This window comes from Homo sapiens, chromosome 7, assembly GCF_000001405.40.
Source record: "Homo sapiens chromosome 7, GRCh38.p14 Primary Assembly".
Classification (NCBI taxonomy): domain Eukaryota; kingdom Metazoa; phylum Chordata; class Mammalia; order Primates; family Hominidae; genus Homo; species Homo sapiens.
In genome coordinates this window covers 2055804-2069427 of record NC_000007.14, presented here as the reverse complement: position 1 = coordinate 2069427, position 13624 = coordinate 2055804, and the positions used below count along the sequence as shown (strand labels likewise).

Below are 13624 nucleotides of genomic sequence, written 5' to 3'. Positions count from 1 at the left end.
CTGGTGGGCTCGTTCCTGGGGTGGGGCGGGGCTTGGTGGGGTGGTCACCCCAGGCTTCATTGCTTTGCCCTCTTGTCTCTCCCATGCAGCGCCCGGGGGCTGGAGAAGGCCAGGCAGCAGCTGCAGGAGGAGCTCCGGCAGGTCAGCGGCCAGCTGTTGGAGGAGAGGAAGAAGCGCGAGACCCACGAGGCGCTGGCCCGGAGGCTCCAGAAACGGGTCCTGCTGCTCACCAAGGTGATGTATGCCCTTACATCTTGATCAGAGTCGCAGGGAGCTGCGGGTCAGTGCACACCTGGTTAGCTGGATCTCACTGTGGAGGCAGGAGTGCTGCAGCCGGGTCAGGGTTGGCACTTTGGCCCTGGGTTGCCAGGAGGGTTCTGGGAATGCCAGAGAGTGCTCAGCCCCGGTGCTCCCTGTGGGACTCTCTGGGCCTGCTGCGTGCCCCACCCTTTTCAGTTCCTCCAGCATCTCAGTGTCCACCCCTGGCCTGGTGCTGAGCTCTGGAGAGGGTTCCCTGTCACTGCGGACCCCCTGCAGGCTCCCACGTGCCTTGCAGTCAGCACCCTCATGCTTTCCCATCCAGTGATGCCATTTACACTGTGTGGGTCTTGGCCTGGGCTTGGGATGAAGGCTGTCACCTGCTTCCAGGTGTGCCCCACCTGTGGGTGGCTCCATGGCCCGACTCTAAGCCTCAGTGCCTGCGGGGGTTCTGATGCCTGGCACCGTGAGCAGAGGTCGCTGGAGCATGAAAGACGGTTTTTGTGAGTTCTGTTTAAAATGTTCCTTGGGCACTGAAATTTCAGAAGACAAGGCGGGAAAGAAGTCAATCTGTCCCCAGATGCTCTCTGGGCCAGGGCGGGTGTCCAGTTTGCTGGGCGGAGACTCCCCCTGCCTGCCTCCAGCTAGTGCTGAGTGGGCGGAGGGCTGTGCCACCCTGGCCCAGGATGCATGCTGCACCTGTCAAGTACTGGGAGTTGTGCCTCATGGATGTTTACCTGTTCTTGATCGTTTTTGATGAAAACCAAGCCTCTTTGCTGCTGGGACCTCTTGGTTGTGGAGCTTTTAGAAAATGAGTAACATTTCCGTTCCAAAGATGCTGTTTTACAGCTTCTCCAGCTCGCTCTGGGCGGCTCCATGCTGTCTCCTAAAGGAAAAGTTCACATGGGCCTAGGTCCCTCGGGCACTGACTGTGTGGGCACCCGGAACACAGGCTGAGCTGGCCCCTGCGCATAGCTCAGATGCTGACCCCAAAGCCCTGGCTTTGCAGGTGCACCCCAGACAGGGGACACTCCAAAATGTTCTCACATGGCTTTTCAGCCGGAGCTGTCTGCTGCCTCTGGCAGAGGGGACACCCAGCCCTGCTGCATGGTCAGGCACGGTACGTTTCTGTGGAGCAAGCTCTCGACCTTCCTCTGTGTTCCCTTCTCTTCCACACCGTGTCTGCTAGTGTGTGAGCTTCTAAGCAAGATGCGTGAGGTGCACGTGGCGTGGATGTGTGGGCACAGCCCTTGGAGGATTCGCTCTTCTAGCGGGGCCAGGCAGTGGCACCAGACCAGCACCTGCCACGCACCTCAACAGAGGTGGACGCCGTGGTGGTGCCGCAGAAGGGCTTTTCTCAGGAGGTGGCATTCCTGTGGGGACCCAAGAATTTCCCCTTTGCGAAAGTGTGTGTGGAGAACCACGGCGGAGGGAGAGAAGGCAGGTCATCACAAAGCGCTGCTGCAGTCACCTCGAGGCCTGGAGCGGGAGGAGACAGCGGCTTGGGCCCACAGGCCACAGCACGCGGGCTGACCACTGCGGTGGTTCGGGCTGACCACTGCGGGGGTTTGGGCTGACCACTGCGGGGGTTCAGGCAAGTGCAGCCCGACCCTGCCGCCGAGGAGAGGCCCGGGAAGCAGAGGGGGCGACACTGTGTTCTTTCAGAGTGGCGGGACACCTTAGCTCGGTGATCTTTGGGTGCGTGATGACGTGCTGTGGTCCCGTGATGCTGGAAGCTCAGAGCTTCCTGGGGGAGGAAGAGTGGGAGGGCTGGGCTGGGAGCTGGGCCTTTCTCTGGGATCTCAGATGTCCCTCATTCTCTCTGGGTCTCAGTTCTCCTTTCTGCTAAACTTTGGGCTCAGGCCTGATGACCCCGGGTGCCTGCGAACGTGGCCTGATGACCCCGGGTGCCTGCGAACGTGGCCTGATGACCCCGGGTGCCTGCGAACATGGCCTGATGACCCCGGGTGCCTGCGAACGTGGCCTGATGACCCCGGGTGCCTGCGAACGTGCTGTGTTCGGGTGGCACCCCCTTGAGTGCACCTTGTTGTTGGGCCCAGTCCCCGATTCTGGGTCGGGGCTGGGGAGTGACATCGGCCCACACCGGCCAGGCGGGCAGCACTTTGGGTTGGTCCTCCATGCGTGGCCTGGGTCTTGGCCTGGGCTACAAGTGTGGCCCCCACAGGAGGGCAGCCCCGCCCGGCCTCAGCTGAGGCTCATCCCTTGGGAACCTCCTGGTTTCTTAAGTGAGGCCAGCGGTTGGAAGCTGATGGGCAGAGTTCCCTTGACAGGTCACGTGTGGGCCTGAGTGTTCTTGTGTGCTGGGTCTGGCCTGCAGCCTGTGACCCACGCGACACTGGTGCTGCTGCCCACACCCTCTTAGTGCCAGGGCTCCCGGCCGTGATGAGGAGTTACATGCAGTCACTGGATGTCTGGTGTGGTTTTCATCCCTGTGGGGCTCCCTCATGGTCTAGTGGAGCCCCGCAGCCTTCTGGGAAGTCTGTGCCCGGCTTCCTTCCTGCCGTTGCTCTTTGATGGCCACCCCGGCCCGCTCAGGGCAGGAAGTTTCTGTTCTTCTCTGCTCTGCTTTGCAGGTGGAGAGCCTCTGGCACTTTCTGGCCCGCGCCAGCCTCACCCCGACCCTGCTGTGCTCGCGGGCCTGCTCTGTGTTAGCAAGAAGGTGGGTATTGATCGCCGGGCATGGACTGGTTGTTTATCCTGACGAAGGATTGATCCCAGTCGCCCGTGTAGCCCCAGGCCAGGGATGCAGGATCCGTCCAGCCAGCCGTGATGAAGCTGTTCACTCAGCCATCTGGAGGGAGCGGCGTGCCTGCTGCTCTGGGTCTGTGTGCCTTGGTGTCGGCCAGTGCCCACCTCAGCTCTGCATGGCAGCCCGCCCAGCTGGGGTGGTCGAGGAGCGCCTTCTCTCAAGGCGCACCCAGGAGGGCTGCGAGCCTCCGGCTGGTGGGGGCTCTGGGCCTCTGCTTCCCATTGGAGGCTCTCCTTGTGTGCTTGACATTTTAGTACACGGTGCTTGGAGTGTGTGGTTTTATTTCGAGACCTTTATTAAACGGCTCTAGTCTAAGGATTTAATTGTTACTGATAGCTAAGAGTATAATTACCTTGGTAAAATATCATGACTATTTTAAGCAGTTGAAAATTGGCTTCTGGAACTGGGTGAACACAAACCATTTTCCTGTTTGAAATGAGCCGTTTCTCCAGTGCCCCAAGCTTCCGCAGTATGGCTGCAGAGTCTTGTTTCTGGAATATCAGTGATACAAGCTAACTTTTAGCAAGAAACTTTTCAAATGACAGAAAAGCCTCCGCTTCCCACCCCTTGTTGTCTGCACTCCACCCTCCCGCCCTGTCTCACAGCAGATCAGTTACTGGAGGCCCCAGGCTTGGGGGGAGCAGTTGACGCTGGGTGTCCAGCGGCGTCGGACTCACGTCGTGGCTGCTGAGCACAGACTGTGGTTGTCATGGTGACACCCTGCCCTGGGAACCCGCACACTGGGAAAGACAGATTTGTGTCTTCTGGAGTTGTTGAGGGTCTGAGTTTCGAGCTCTGGGCTGGGGTGTTGGGTCTGGGCTGGCTGAATGAGCACGTTCCTCGGCCACCTCCTCCGAAGCTGGGGTTGGTGACGACACACATTCCCCTCTCCCACGTCCTCGCTGCCTGGGGCATCAGATCTGCCCACTGCCATAAAGTTCCTTTTGTCAATCAAAAAACCGTCCACAAACATTCCTGATGATCCACGGTCTCAAAACCAACGTGGCTGGGCCTGCTGTGGGATTGGGAGCGGATGAGCTTTAACAGGAGGGCTGGGACCCTGGACACGGCTGCCACCCTCAGTGATGGGAGAGTGTGGAGAGCTGGTGTCTGTATTCGCTGGGTGCAGTTTAGGCCAGATCCATCCAGGAGACAGCTGAAGGCAGATGGAGACTGGGCCCAAGAAGGCGGGGGCTGCTGCTGTTTAAGAAACAGTTAAATAGGGGGCAGAATGCAGGAAGTACAAGGGGGGACCCCTCAGAAGAGTTCCATGTTCTTCCTGCCTCACATCCAGAAGAGAGTCCTAGAAGAAGCCTCTGTCCTCCCTTGAGAATCTGCTGTCCTCCTGAAAGAAGCCTCTGCTCTCCCATGAGCAGCCGCTGTCCTCCTATGATCAGCCACTGTCCTCCTGGAAGAAGCCACCATCCTCCCGGGAGAAGCCTCTGTCCTCCCTTGACAACCTGCTGTCCTCCTGGAAGAAGCCTCTGTCCTCCCATGAGCAGCCACCGTCCTCCCTGGAGAAGCCGCCATCCTTTGGGAGAAGACACTGTCCTCCTAGGAGAAGCCGCTGTCCTGGGAGAAGCCGCTGTCCTGGGAGAAGCCTCCGTCCTGGGAGAAGCCGCCATATTCCTAGGAGAAGCTGCCATCCTCATCCTCCCAGGAGAATCTGGTATCCTCTGGGAGAAGCCGCTGTCCTCCTGGGAGAAGCTGCCATATTCCTGGGAGAAGCCACTGTCCTCCTAGGAGAAGCCTCTGTCCTCCCAGGAGAAGCCTCTGTCCTCCTGGGAGAAGCTGCCACATTCCCGGGAGAAGCCACTGTCCTCCTAGGAGAATCCTCTGTCCTCCGGGGAGAAGCCTCTGTCCTCTTCGGAGAAGCTGCTCTCTTCCTGCTATGTTCCTGGCCCAGAGGCAGCTCTTGTGAGCCTGAGCCATCCCAGCCTCTTACAGGGGCCAGAGCCGCTTCCTGAGGCCTCCTCTCCATGCTATGGTGCCTTCCCGAGGGAATCTGGGGCAGGGGAGCCAGGCTTAGCTCAGGGACCCCTGCGCGTTCTCAGTTGACTCTGCCAGGGCCTCCTCTCTTCTTGGGGGTCGTTTCTGTGCCCAGGATGCTGTGCTGGAGTCTCCCATGCCCTTTCTGGTGGAGGGCCCGCCTGGATATTGGTGTTGATTGTTTTGAAGACATGTTGCTCTTCGTGTCCTGTGTATTCACTCGGCTGCCTGAGGCTGGGCTCCTGTGTGCTCCCTCGCCAGGGGGTTGCTGGGCTGCATCCCCAGCCTCCTTGGATTCAGTGTCTCGGCAGGGTTAGCCGCGAGGCCAGGCCCAGAACAGGACATGCGTGTTCCTTGCTGAAGCTCAGTGTCATCTGTGGAGCCGGCCTGCTACGGGAGAGGCTCCAGGCCCCCTTCTGGTCCATCCTAGGAAGGCAGTGCAGTCCTCGCTGGGATTCTCCCAGGCCTGGGGTTTGAGGAGGCCCCTCCATTTCCTTCTGACTGTGTCTCTTCTCCTCTGCAGGATTGTGTGTGCTGAGGGCAGAGCGAGGGAGGCTGGCTGCCCCGAGGGAGCTGAGGCCACAGGTGCTCAGGGTCAGAGTGGCCCGTGGATCATGAAGGAGTGTGTTCTGGTGGCCGCACCCTGGCCATGACAAAGGCGGGTGTGGTGCCCACGGGAAGAGGGCAGGGCCTCGCTGGCACCGTGCCCAGGCTGCGCAGCGATTTAGAAATGGGCCCACGTTGCTGGAGTGTTTTTATTTTTGAACAGGTTATTTTCATCTCTCCTGGAATAGCACGGTGGAGACACACCTGATGCATGTTTTTGCTCCCATAGGACGTGTGGGTGGAAGGGACATGGAGCAGAGGCAAGCGCTGTTGTTTATTTTGTGTTCATACAGCTTGGGCAGCTTCCACTTTGGAGACCACCCCAACAAGGTTAATGTAGCTCATGCCTGTCCCAGCCACAGACAAGGCCGCTGTTCCTCCAGCTGAGTGCCACTTCAAGTCACTGGCTTGCCTTTATTTCAAAGCCCTGATCTTCCCTGATGGTGTCTGTTTAAGTCCTGGGATCCGGCACAGCCTGGAGTGAGGACGCGGAGCCAGGGACTCCCAGGGGCCCAGGACTCTGCCCACTCTTGGATCAGAGAGCAAGATTTTGGCGCAGTGAGGTCCCACCCACCCCACGTCCAGTCTTTCTTTTCACTGTTCTCGTGAAACACATTGCGTGTGCAAAGATCATATAGAACATATACATACAGCTCAAAGAATACAGCAAGTTCCCGTGTCTCAGTCCCAGTGTAAGAAACAGAACAGCCTCCGCTGTCAGACGGAGCCGTGCTCTAAACGTAGAGCAGTCCCTTCCCTCATTTTTCTTTCTAGTTTAATTGTGTGTATATCTTTAAACATTGCTCCGCTTTTCCCATTTTTATGTTTTCTGTACATAGAGCCACGCTTCTGTGGCTTCTCTTTGTTTTTATCTTAGCGTTATCCTTTTGACCTTCGTCCCTGGGAATGCAGCGTGTTCCTTTTTGCTGCTGTTGTGATGCTGTGTGCAGGGAGTGGGTCACGGTTTAGTGACCTGACGTGTGAGGTGTTCCAGTTTTGCCTTCCTGCGGTGGGTGCTGCACAGTGGGTGTGGCTCAGCCCCACCTCGGGAGGCTTGTTCTCAGTAGTCTCCGTGTTGAAGTTTAGTGTGCACAAATTACAGACCCAGGACAGACTCTAGAAGAGCAGGTAGTTAGCAACCCCAGCAAGACCCTCGTGCCTGGTTCCAGCCGCTCCCTCAGCTCCAGGGCAAGCGCCTCCTGACTTCACTTCCCTGTTTTTTTTTTGTTTGAGACAGAGTCTCTCTTTGTTGCCCAGGCTGGAGTGCAGTCGCGTGATCTCGGCTCACTGCAGCCTCCGCCTCCCAGGTTCAAGCAATTCTGTTGCCTCAGCCTCTCGAGTAGCTGGGATTATAGGTGTGCGTCACCACACCGGGCTAATTTTTGTATTTTTAGTAAAGACAGGGTTTCACCATGTTGGCCAGGTTGGTCTCGAACTCCTGACCTCGTGATCCCCCTACTTCGGCCTCCCAATCCCAAAGTGCTGGGATTACAGGCGTGAGCCACTGTGTCCGGCCTTCAATTCCCTGTTTTTTTTTTTTTTTTTTTGTCGTTGCTGTTTTTTGAAATGGAGTCTCGCTCTGTCACCCAGGCTGGAGTGCAGTGGCGCGATCTCAGCTCACTGCAACCTCCGTCTCTTGGGTTCAAGCCATTCTCTCGCCTCAGCCTCCCGAGGAGCTGGGATTTCAGGTGCCTGTCACTATACCCAGCTAATTTTTTTGTATTTTTGTAGAGACGGGGTTTCACCATGTTGGCCAGGCTGGTCCTGAACTCCTGACCTCAGGTGATCTGCCTGCCTCGGCCTCCCAAAGTGCTGGGATTACAGGCGTGAGCCACTGCGCCTGGCCCACTTCCCTGTTTTTAAGCGTCACATATTGGAATCACATACCTGTACTCTTTAGTCCCTGGCTTCCATTACACGTTATCTTTGTGAGAGTCATGTGTGTTGTGTATAGCTGAGATTTGTTGATTTTTCTTAATTACTCTGTTAAGTTTTCCATTGTATAAAAATACCACTTTTTAAAATACACTTGGCTGTACCCGACATCGGATGGTTTCCAGCATGGGGGTGTTGACTCTTGCTGACGTGGACGTTTTAACACGTGTATGACGTTTGGTGATCCCCTGGGTGCCCTTGCGCTGGGCATGCCCAGGTGTGGCATAGGGTCAGTTCCCGGGGCTGCCACCCCCGCCAGAGTTACTGTGCCAGGTGGCACTCCTGTTGGGGTGTGGATGGTGCTGGTCCCTCCGGGTCCTCACCTCCTGCCTTTGGTTTTCTCCCTGGTGGGGGCCTGTACTCGAAAGCTGTTGTTCTTACTTTCCTGAGGCTTGGTGAAGCTGAGCTGCTTTTTACATGCTCACTGGCCGGTTAGACACCGACTCCTGGGGGCACCTGGACAGGCTTTCTGTTCCTACCCCTTTGGGCTTTTATTTTTATTTTATTTTATTTTAATTTTATTATTATTTTTTGAGACGGAGTCTCACTCTGTTGCCCAGGCTGGAGTGCAATGGCTCAATCTTGGCTCACTGCCACCTCCGCCTCCCGGGTTCAAGCAATTCTCCTGCCTCAGCCTCATGAGTAGCTGGGACTACAGGCACGCGCCAGCACGCCCAGCTAAGTTTTGTATTTTTAGTAGAGATGGGGTCTCACCATGTTGGTTAGGCTGGTCTCGAACTCCTGACCTCGTGATCTGCCTGCCTCAGCCTTCCAAAGTGTTGAGATTACAGGCGTGAGCCACTGTATCCGTCCTGGGCCTTTAAATGATTGTTTGCCTTGTTCTTACTGAGTTGTAGTTCTTTACTCTGGATGTGAAAGTCTTTTGTTGAAACGTATTTAGTTATCTTCTCGTAGCCTGTGGTTTGCTTTTTCACTCTCGGAATTTCTCTGTTGATGTTCATGCAGCCAGCTCACCGACGTTTGCTGATGCTGGTGCTTTTGAGTCATGATTAAACAGTCTTTGCCTGCCAAAGTTGTGAAGATACTCAGTGGTTTTCTTCTAAACACTTTATTGTTTACCTTTTATATGTTGCTGCTTTTGTTCTGTGAAACATGCTGTTGATCTGGCAGCCTCTATTGCAAGGCCGCCTTCTCCCCACGCGTGGCGCTGCCATGGCCGTGGCCCGGGGACCCCTCGTGGCCGTCCACTTCAGGGCTTTCTGGTGTGTTCCATGGGCTCTTTTTTTATTTGTTTACGATTCCATGCTGTCGTCGTTGCCTCCTCCTTCCAGTGTTTCCCTGTGTCCAGGTGAAGCACAGCATTAGCTTATCTTGGCATTAGCGTATCTCGACATTAGCGTTATCTCGGTCTCGGCATTATCTCGATATTGGCATATCTCGACATCAGCGTTATCTCGGCATCGGCGTTATCTCAGCATCGGCGTATCTCAGCATCAGTGTATCTCAGCATCAGCGTATCTTGACATCTCGGCATCGGTGTATCTTGGCATCAGCATATCTCGACATCTTGGCATTGGCGTATCTCAGCATCGGCGTATCTCGGGATCGGCGTATCTCGGGATCGGCGTATCTCGGCATCGGCGTATCTCGGCATCGGCGTATCTCGGCATCGGCGTATCTCGGCATCGGCGTAACTTGGCATCTGCGTATCTTGGCATCGGTGTATCTCGGCATCGGCGTATCTCGGCTTCGGCGTATCTTGGCATCTGCGTATCTCGACATCTCGGCATCTTGGCTTCGGCGTATCTCGGCATCAGCGTATCTTGGCATCAGCGTATCTTGATACCTCGGCATCGGTGTATCTCGGCATCGGCGTATCTTGTGAACCATGAATGCCACATGTTCCACCATTTACCTTGATGGCCTTTAATTTCTCTCAGCAAGTTTGATGGATTTTAGGGTAGATTCTTACATGTCATTAGACTTTCTGCCCTGCGTATTTGAACATTCGACGCAGTTTTCATGTTGTCTTCTTGGACTTTGATCTTCTATGTATGTGTTCCTGGCCTGTGGATGTACCATTGGGTCCTGCACATTGACCCTGCACATGACAACCTTGCTCTGATGCTGGTGTTTGACGTGCACACTCATACTCTCTGAGAGATGCTGGCCATGCTTCCCCACCAACCCCATGCCTCTCTTCTCCCCTGGCTACGCTTCCCTGCCAGCCCCACACCTCTCCTGTCCCCTGGCCATGCTCCCTCTCCAGCCCCGCGCCTCTCCTCTCCCCTGGCCACGCTTCCCCACCAGCCCCGTGCCTCTCCTCTCCCCTCCCCTGGCCATGCTTCCCCGCCAGCCCCTTGCCTCTCCTCTCCCCTGGCCATGCTCCCTTTCCAGCCCCGCACCTTTCCTCTCCTCTGGCCACAATCCCTCTCCAGCCCCACGCCTCTTCTCTCCTCTGGCCACGCTGCCTCTCCAACCCCGTGCCTCTCCTCTGGCCACATTCCCTCTCCAGCCCTGCTTCTCTCTTCTGGCCACACTCCCTCTCCAGCCCCATGCCTCTCCTCTCCTCTGGCCACACTCCCACTCCAGCCCTGCTTCTCTCTTCTGGCCACACTCCCTCTCCAGCCCTGCTTCTCTCCTGGCCACACTCCCTCTCCAGCCCTGCTTCTCTCCTGGCCACACTCCCTCTCCAGCCCTGCTTCTCTCCTCTGGCCACACTCCCTCTCCAGCCCCACGCCTCTCTTCTCCTCTGGCCACACTCCCTCTCCAGCCCTGCTTCTCTCGTCTGGCCACACTCCCTCTCCAGCCCTGCTTCTCTCCTGGCCACACTCCCTCTCCAGCCCTGCTTCTCTCCTCTGGCCACACTCCCTCTCCAGCCCTGCTTCTCTCCTCTGGCCACACTCCCTCTCCAGCCCTGCGCCTCTCCCCTGGCCACACTCCCACTCTAGCCCCGCGCCTCTCCTCTCCTCTGGCCACACTCCCTCTCCAGCCCTGCGCCTCTCCCCTGGCCACACTCCCACTCTAGCCCCGCGCCTCTCCTCTCCTCTGGCCACACTCCCTCTCCAGCCCTGCTTCTCTCCTCTGGCCACACTCCCACTCCAGCCCCGCGCCTCTCCTCTTCTCTGGCCACACTCCCTCTCCAGCCCTGCTTCTCTCCTCTAGCCACACTCCCTCTCCAGCCCTGCGCCTCTCCTCTCCCCTGGCCACACTCCCTCTCCAGCCTCAAGCCTCTCCTCTCCTCTGGCCACACTCCCTCTCCAGCCCTGCGCCTCTCCCCTGGCCACACTCCCACTCTAGCCCCGCGCCTCTCCTCTCCTCTGGCCACACTCCCTCTCCAGCCCTGCTTCTCTCCTCTGGCCACACTCCCTCTCCAGCCCTGCGCCTCTCCTCTCCTCTGGCCACACTCCCTCTCCAGCCCTGCTTCTCTCCTCTGGCCACACTCCCTCTCCAGCCTCGCGCCTCTCCTCTCCTCTGGCCACACTCCCTCTCCAGCCCCGCCCCTCTCCTCTCCTCTGGCCACACTCCCTCTCCAGCCCCGCGCCTCTCCTCTCCTCTGGCCACACTCCCTCTCCAGCCCCGCGCCTCTCCTCTCCTCTGGCCACACTCCCTCTCCAGCCCCGCGCCTCTCCTCTCCTCTGGCCACACTCCCTCTCCAGCCCCGCGCCTCTCCTCTCCTCTGGCCACACTCCCTCTCCAGCCCCGCGCCTCTCCTCTCCTCTGGCCACACTCCCTCTCCAGCCCTGCTTCTCTCCTCTAGCCACACTCCCTCTCCAGCCCCGCGCCTCTCCTCTCCTCTGGCCACACTCCCTCTCCAGCCCCGCGCCTCTCCTCTCCTCTGGCCACACTCCCTCTCCAGCCCCGCGCCTCTCCTCTCCTCTCCTCTGGCCACACTCCCTCTCCAGCCCCGCGCCTCTCCTCTCCTCTGGCCACACTCCCTCTCCGGCCCTGCTTCTCTCCATGCCCCTTTCCTCCAGGTGCAGTGTCATGGAGGAATGATGACAGTAGGCACCTTGTCTCCTTCAGGCTGTGACGGGCGCTTTGGTAATCCATCAGTAAGCGTGGTGTGTGCTAGATGTTCTGTGTGATACTCTTTACTGAATTAATGAAATCCTCTCCAACTTGTGCTTTTCTAAGAGTCTTTGTCACGAAGGCCTACCCCATAAATTTTGATGCGGGTTGTTTTTGTTACTGTTGAGTTCAAAACATTTTCTGATATTCTCTGTGGATTTAGAAAGTCTGGCCTTCCAGCAGGATTTAACGCATACAAAGCATATAATACAGGTGGACTGGCCAGCTGAAAAGGGATTGAGAAGGAGAAACCCAGACTCAGTTCACTCACTCGATCATTAATGTTTCATTCCCCAACTTCTTCTTTTTGGGGGGGCGGTGGGGGGAATGGAGTCTTGTTCTGATGTCCAGGCTGGAGTGCAGTGGTGCAATCTTGGCTCACTGCAACCTCTGCCTCCCGGGTTCAAGCAGTTCTCCCCTCAGCCTCTGAGTAGCTGGGACTACAGGTGCACACCACCATGCCCGGTGAATTCTTTGTATTTTTAGTAGGGATGGATTTTGCCACGTTGGCCAGGAACTTCTCACGTCAAGTGATCTGCCCACCTTGGCTTCCCGACGTGCTGGGATTACAGGCATGAGGCACCGCGCTCGGTCATTCCCCAGATTCTTACTGTGCGTCTCCTGTGAGCCTGGCACATTTAGGTGCTGTGGAAAACAGCAGGGAGCTGCACAGCAGACTCGGAGCTCAAGGGCCCCTCTCTAGGTGGGGCTGGGGCAGGTGTCAGTCGCGTTGAGGCGGTGATGGCTGCTGTGAAGAAAGGGAGGCGCTTTAGGGCTCGTGTGTCAGGGAGGGTGTGGGAAGCCGGTGAACAGGCGCCCTTGCTGAGCCCAGAAGGTCACTGCGGGGAGAGCTGTGTCCATCTGCCGTGCTAGACCGTGGTGGGGCTTGGTTTGTGGTAATGATAGCTGCACGGGTACTTGGGAAGGTTGTGGGGCGAGGTGCCACGTCTCCCCGGCTTCCCCGTGGCAATGCCGTAGGTGGTCGTGGTGCAGTGGGAAGACCAGGGGCTTTGGCGTTAGCACAGCCTGTGTTCCTCTCCGCGATCGGCCGCTTGTGTAGGTTTCTGTGGCCCCACAACAGTCCCCCTGGGCTGCCTCTTGGAGCCACACCAACTCCTTGTCCTGGTTCTAGTGTTGAGTAGGACTTGTCCTTCACCCCTCTGTGATAATGGGCGCTGGGTGGGAGCCCGTGGGAGCTCTGTGGTGGGCCTTGGTTCGAGGTGAGCACCGCCCTCGCTCACGTGGGTATCTCCTGGGTCGCTTTGCAGATGGGTCGTGGAGCCAGTCTTGTACTTCCTTCCACGTCTTTCCTGGATAGCCATTCTGTGGTTTCTTCCTCTGCCCCAGTGGGAGCCTAAATCTGGCTGTGTGCTCCTCCCTCCCCTGAGGGTGTGAGATCTAGCCCTCTTTCCCTAGAGCAGAGCAGAGCAGAGCAGAGCAGAGGGCCTCCATCCCTCCCACAGAAGAGCCTGCGCGAGCCCCATGCTGCTTCTGATCGCCGTCTCTTCTGCTCCACACCCCTCTTTAGGTCTGAGGCTTCATGATCGGCACGATTTCTCTTGCTCTTTCTTTTTTAATACTGAAAATTTTTGGTCTTAGGTAGCACTGAAGGGAGTATTTATAACACCCAGTACCTGCTGTGTCATCTGGAAAGCATCATCCTCTGTGACCCTCCAGGGGTTTGTGTCAGACAGTCATCATGTTCCCTGTGGCGCCCGCTGAGGCGTCGGGGGGTCAGCTCTGTGGCCCCGTTTTAGCCCAGCAAGTCGAGGCTTAAGAGTGGCATAGAGACTGCCCAGGCCATGCGGCCAGCCTTGATGCTAGATTTGTGTTTTTTATTTATTTATTTATTTATTTTTGAGATGGAGTCTTGCCCTGTCACTCAGGCTGGAGTGCAGTGGCATGATCTCAGCTCACTGCAACCTCTGCCTCCTGGGTTCAAGCGATTCTCCAGCCTCAGCCTCCCGAGTAGCTGGGATTACAGGCGCCTGCCACCATGTCCAGCTAATTTATGTATTTGTAGTAGAGACGGGG

At 57.1% G+C, this 13624-nt stretch overlaps 1 protein-coding gene across 5 annotated transcripts in view, besides 3 other annotated features; it reads left to right on the top strand.

The window, feature by feature from the left end:
• Nucleotides 1-13624, top strand: part of MAD1L1 (mitotic arrest deficient 1 like 1) — a 417151-nt gene that overhangs the window by 163518 nt on the left and 240009 nt on the right. For all 5 annotated transcript variants that reach the window (NM_001304524.2, NM_001304523.2, NM_001013837.2 and 2 more), the window contains one exon: nucleotides 90-234. In NM_001304524.2, the coding sequence (NP_001291453.1) occupies nucleotides 90-234 (145 nt within the window). The remainder of the gene's footprint in view (nucleotides 1-89; nucleotides 235-13624) is intronic.
• Nucleotides 5380-5674: a silencer, noted in NCBI's record as "tiled region #15277; K562 Repressive non-DNase unmatched - State 8:EnhW". NCBI's record gives its function as "represses a minimal TATA promoter and a strong SV40 promoter by Sharpr-MPRA in K562 cells {active_cell/tissue: K562}" and the evidence as "EXISTENCE:reporter gene assay evidence [ECO:0000049][PMID:27701403]".
• Nucleotides 12190-12742: an enhancer, noted in NCBI's record as "H3K4me1 hESC enhancer chr7:2096321-2096873 (GRCh37/hg19 assembly coordinates)". NCBI's record gives its function as "activates a minimal SCP1, AML or CMV promoter by ChIP-STARR-seq in naive H9 embryonic stem cells {active_cell/tissue: H9 hESC(naive)}" and the evidence as "EXISTENCE:reporter gene assay evidence [ECO:0000049][PMID:30033119]".
• Nucleotides 12743-13296: an enhancer, noted in NCBI's record as "H3K4me1 hESC enhancer chr7:2095767-2096320 (GRCh37/hg19 assembly coordinates)". NCBI's record gives its function as "activates a minimal SCP1, AML or CMV promoter by ChIP-STARR-seq in naive H9 embryonic stem cells {active_cell/tissue: H9 hESC(naive)}" and the evidence as "EXISTENCE:reporter gene assay evidence [ECO:0000049][PMID:30033119]".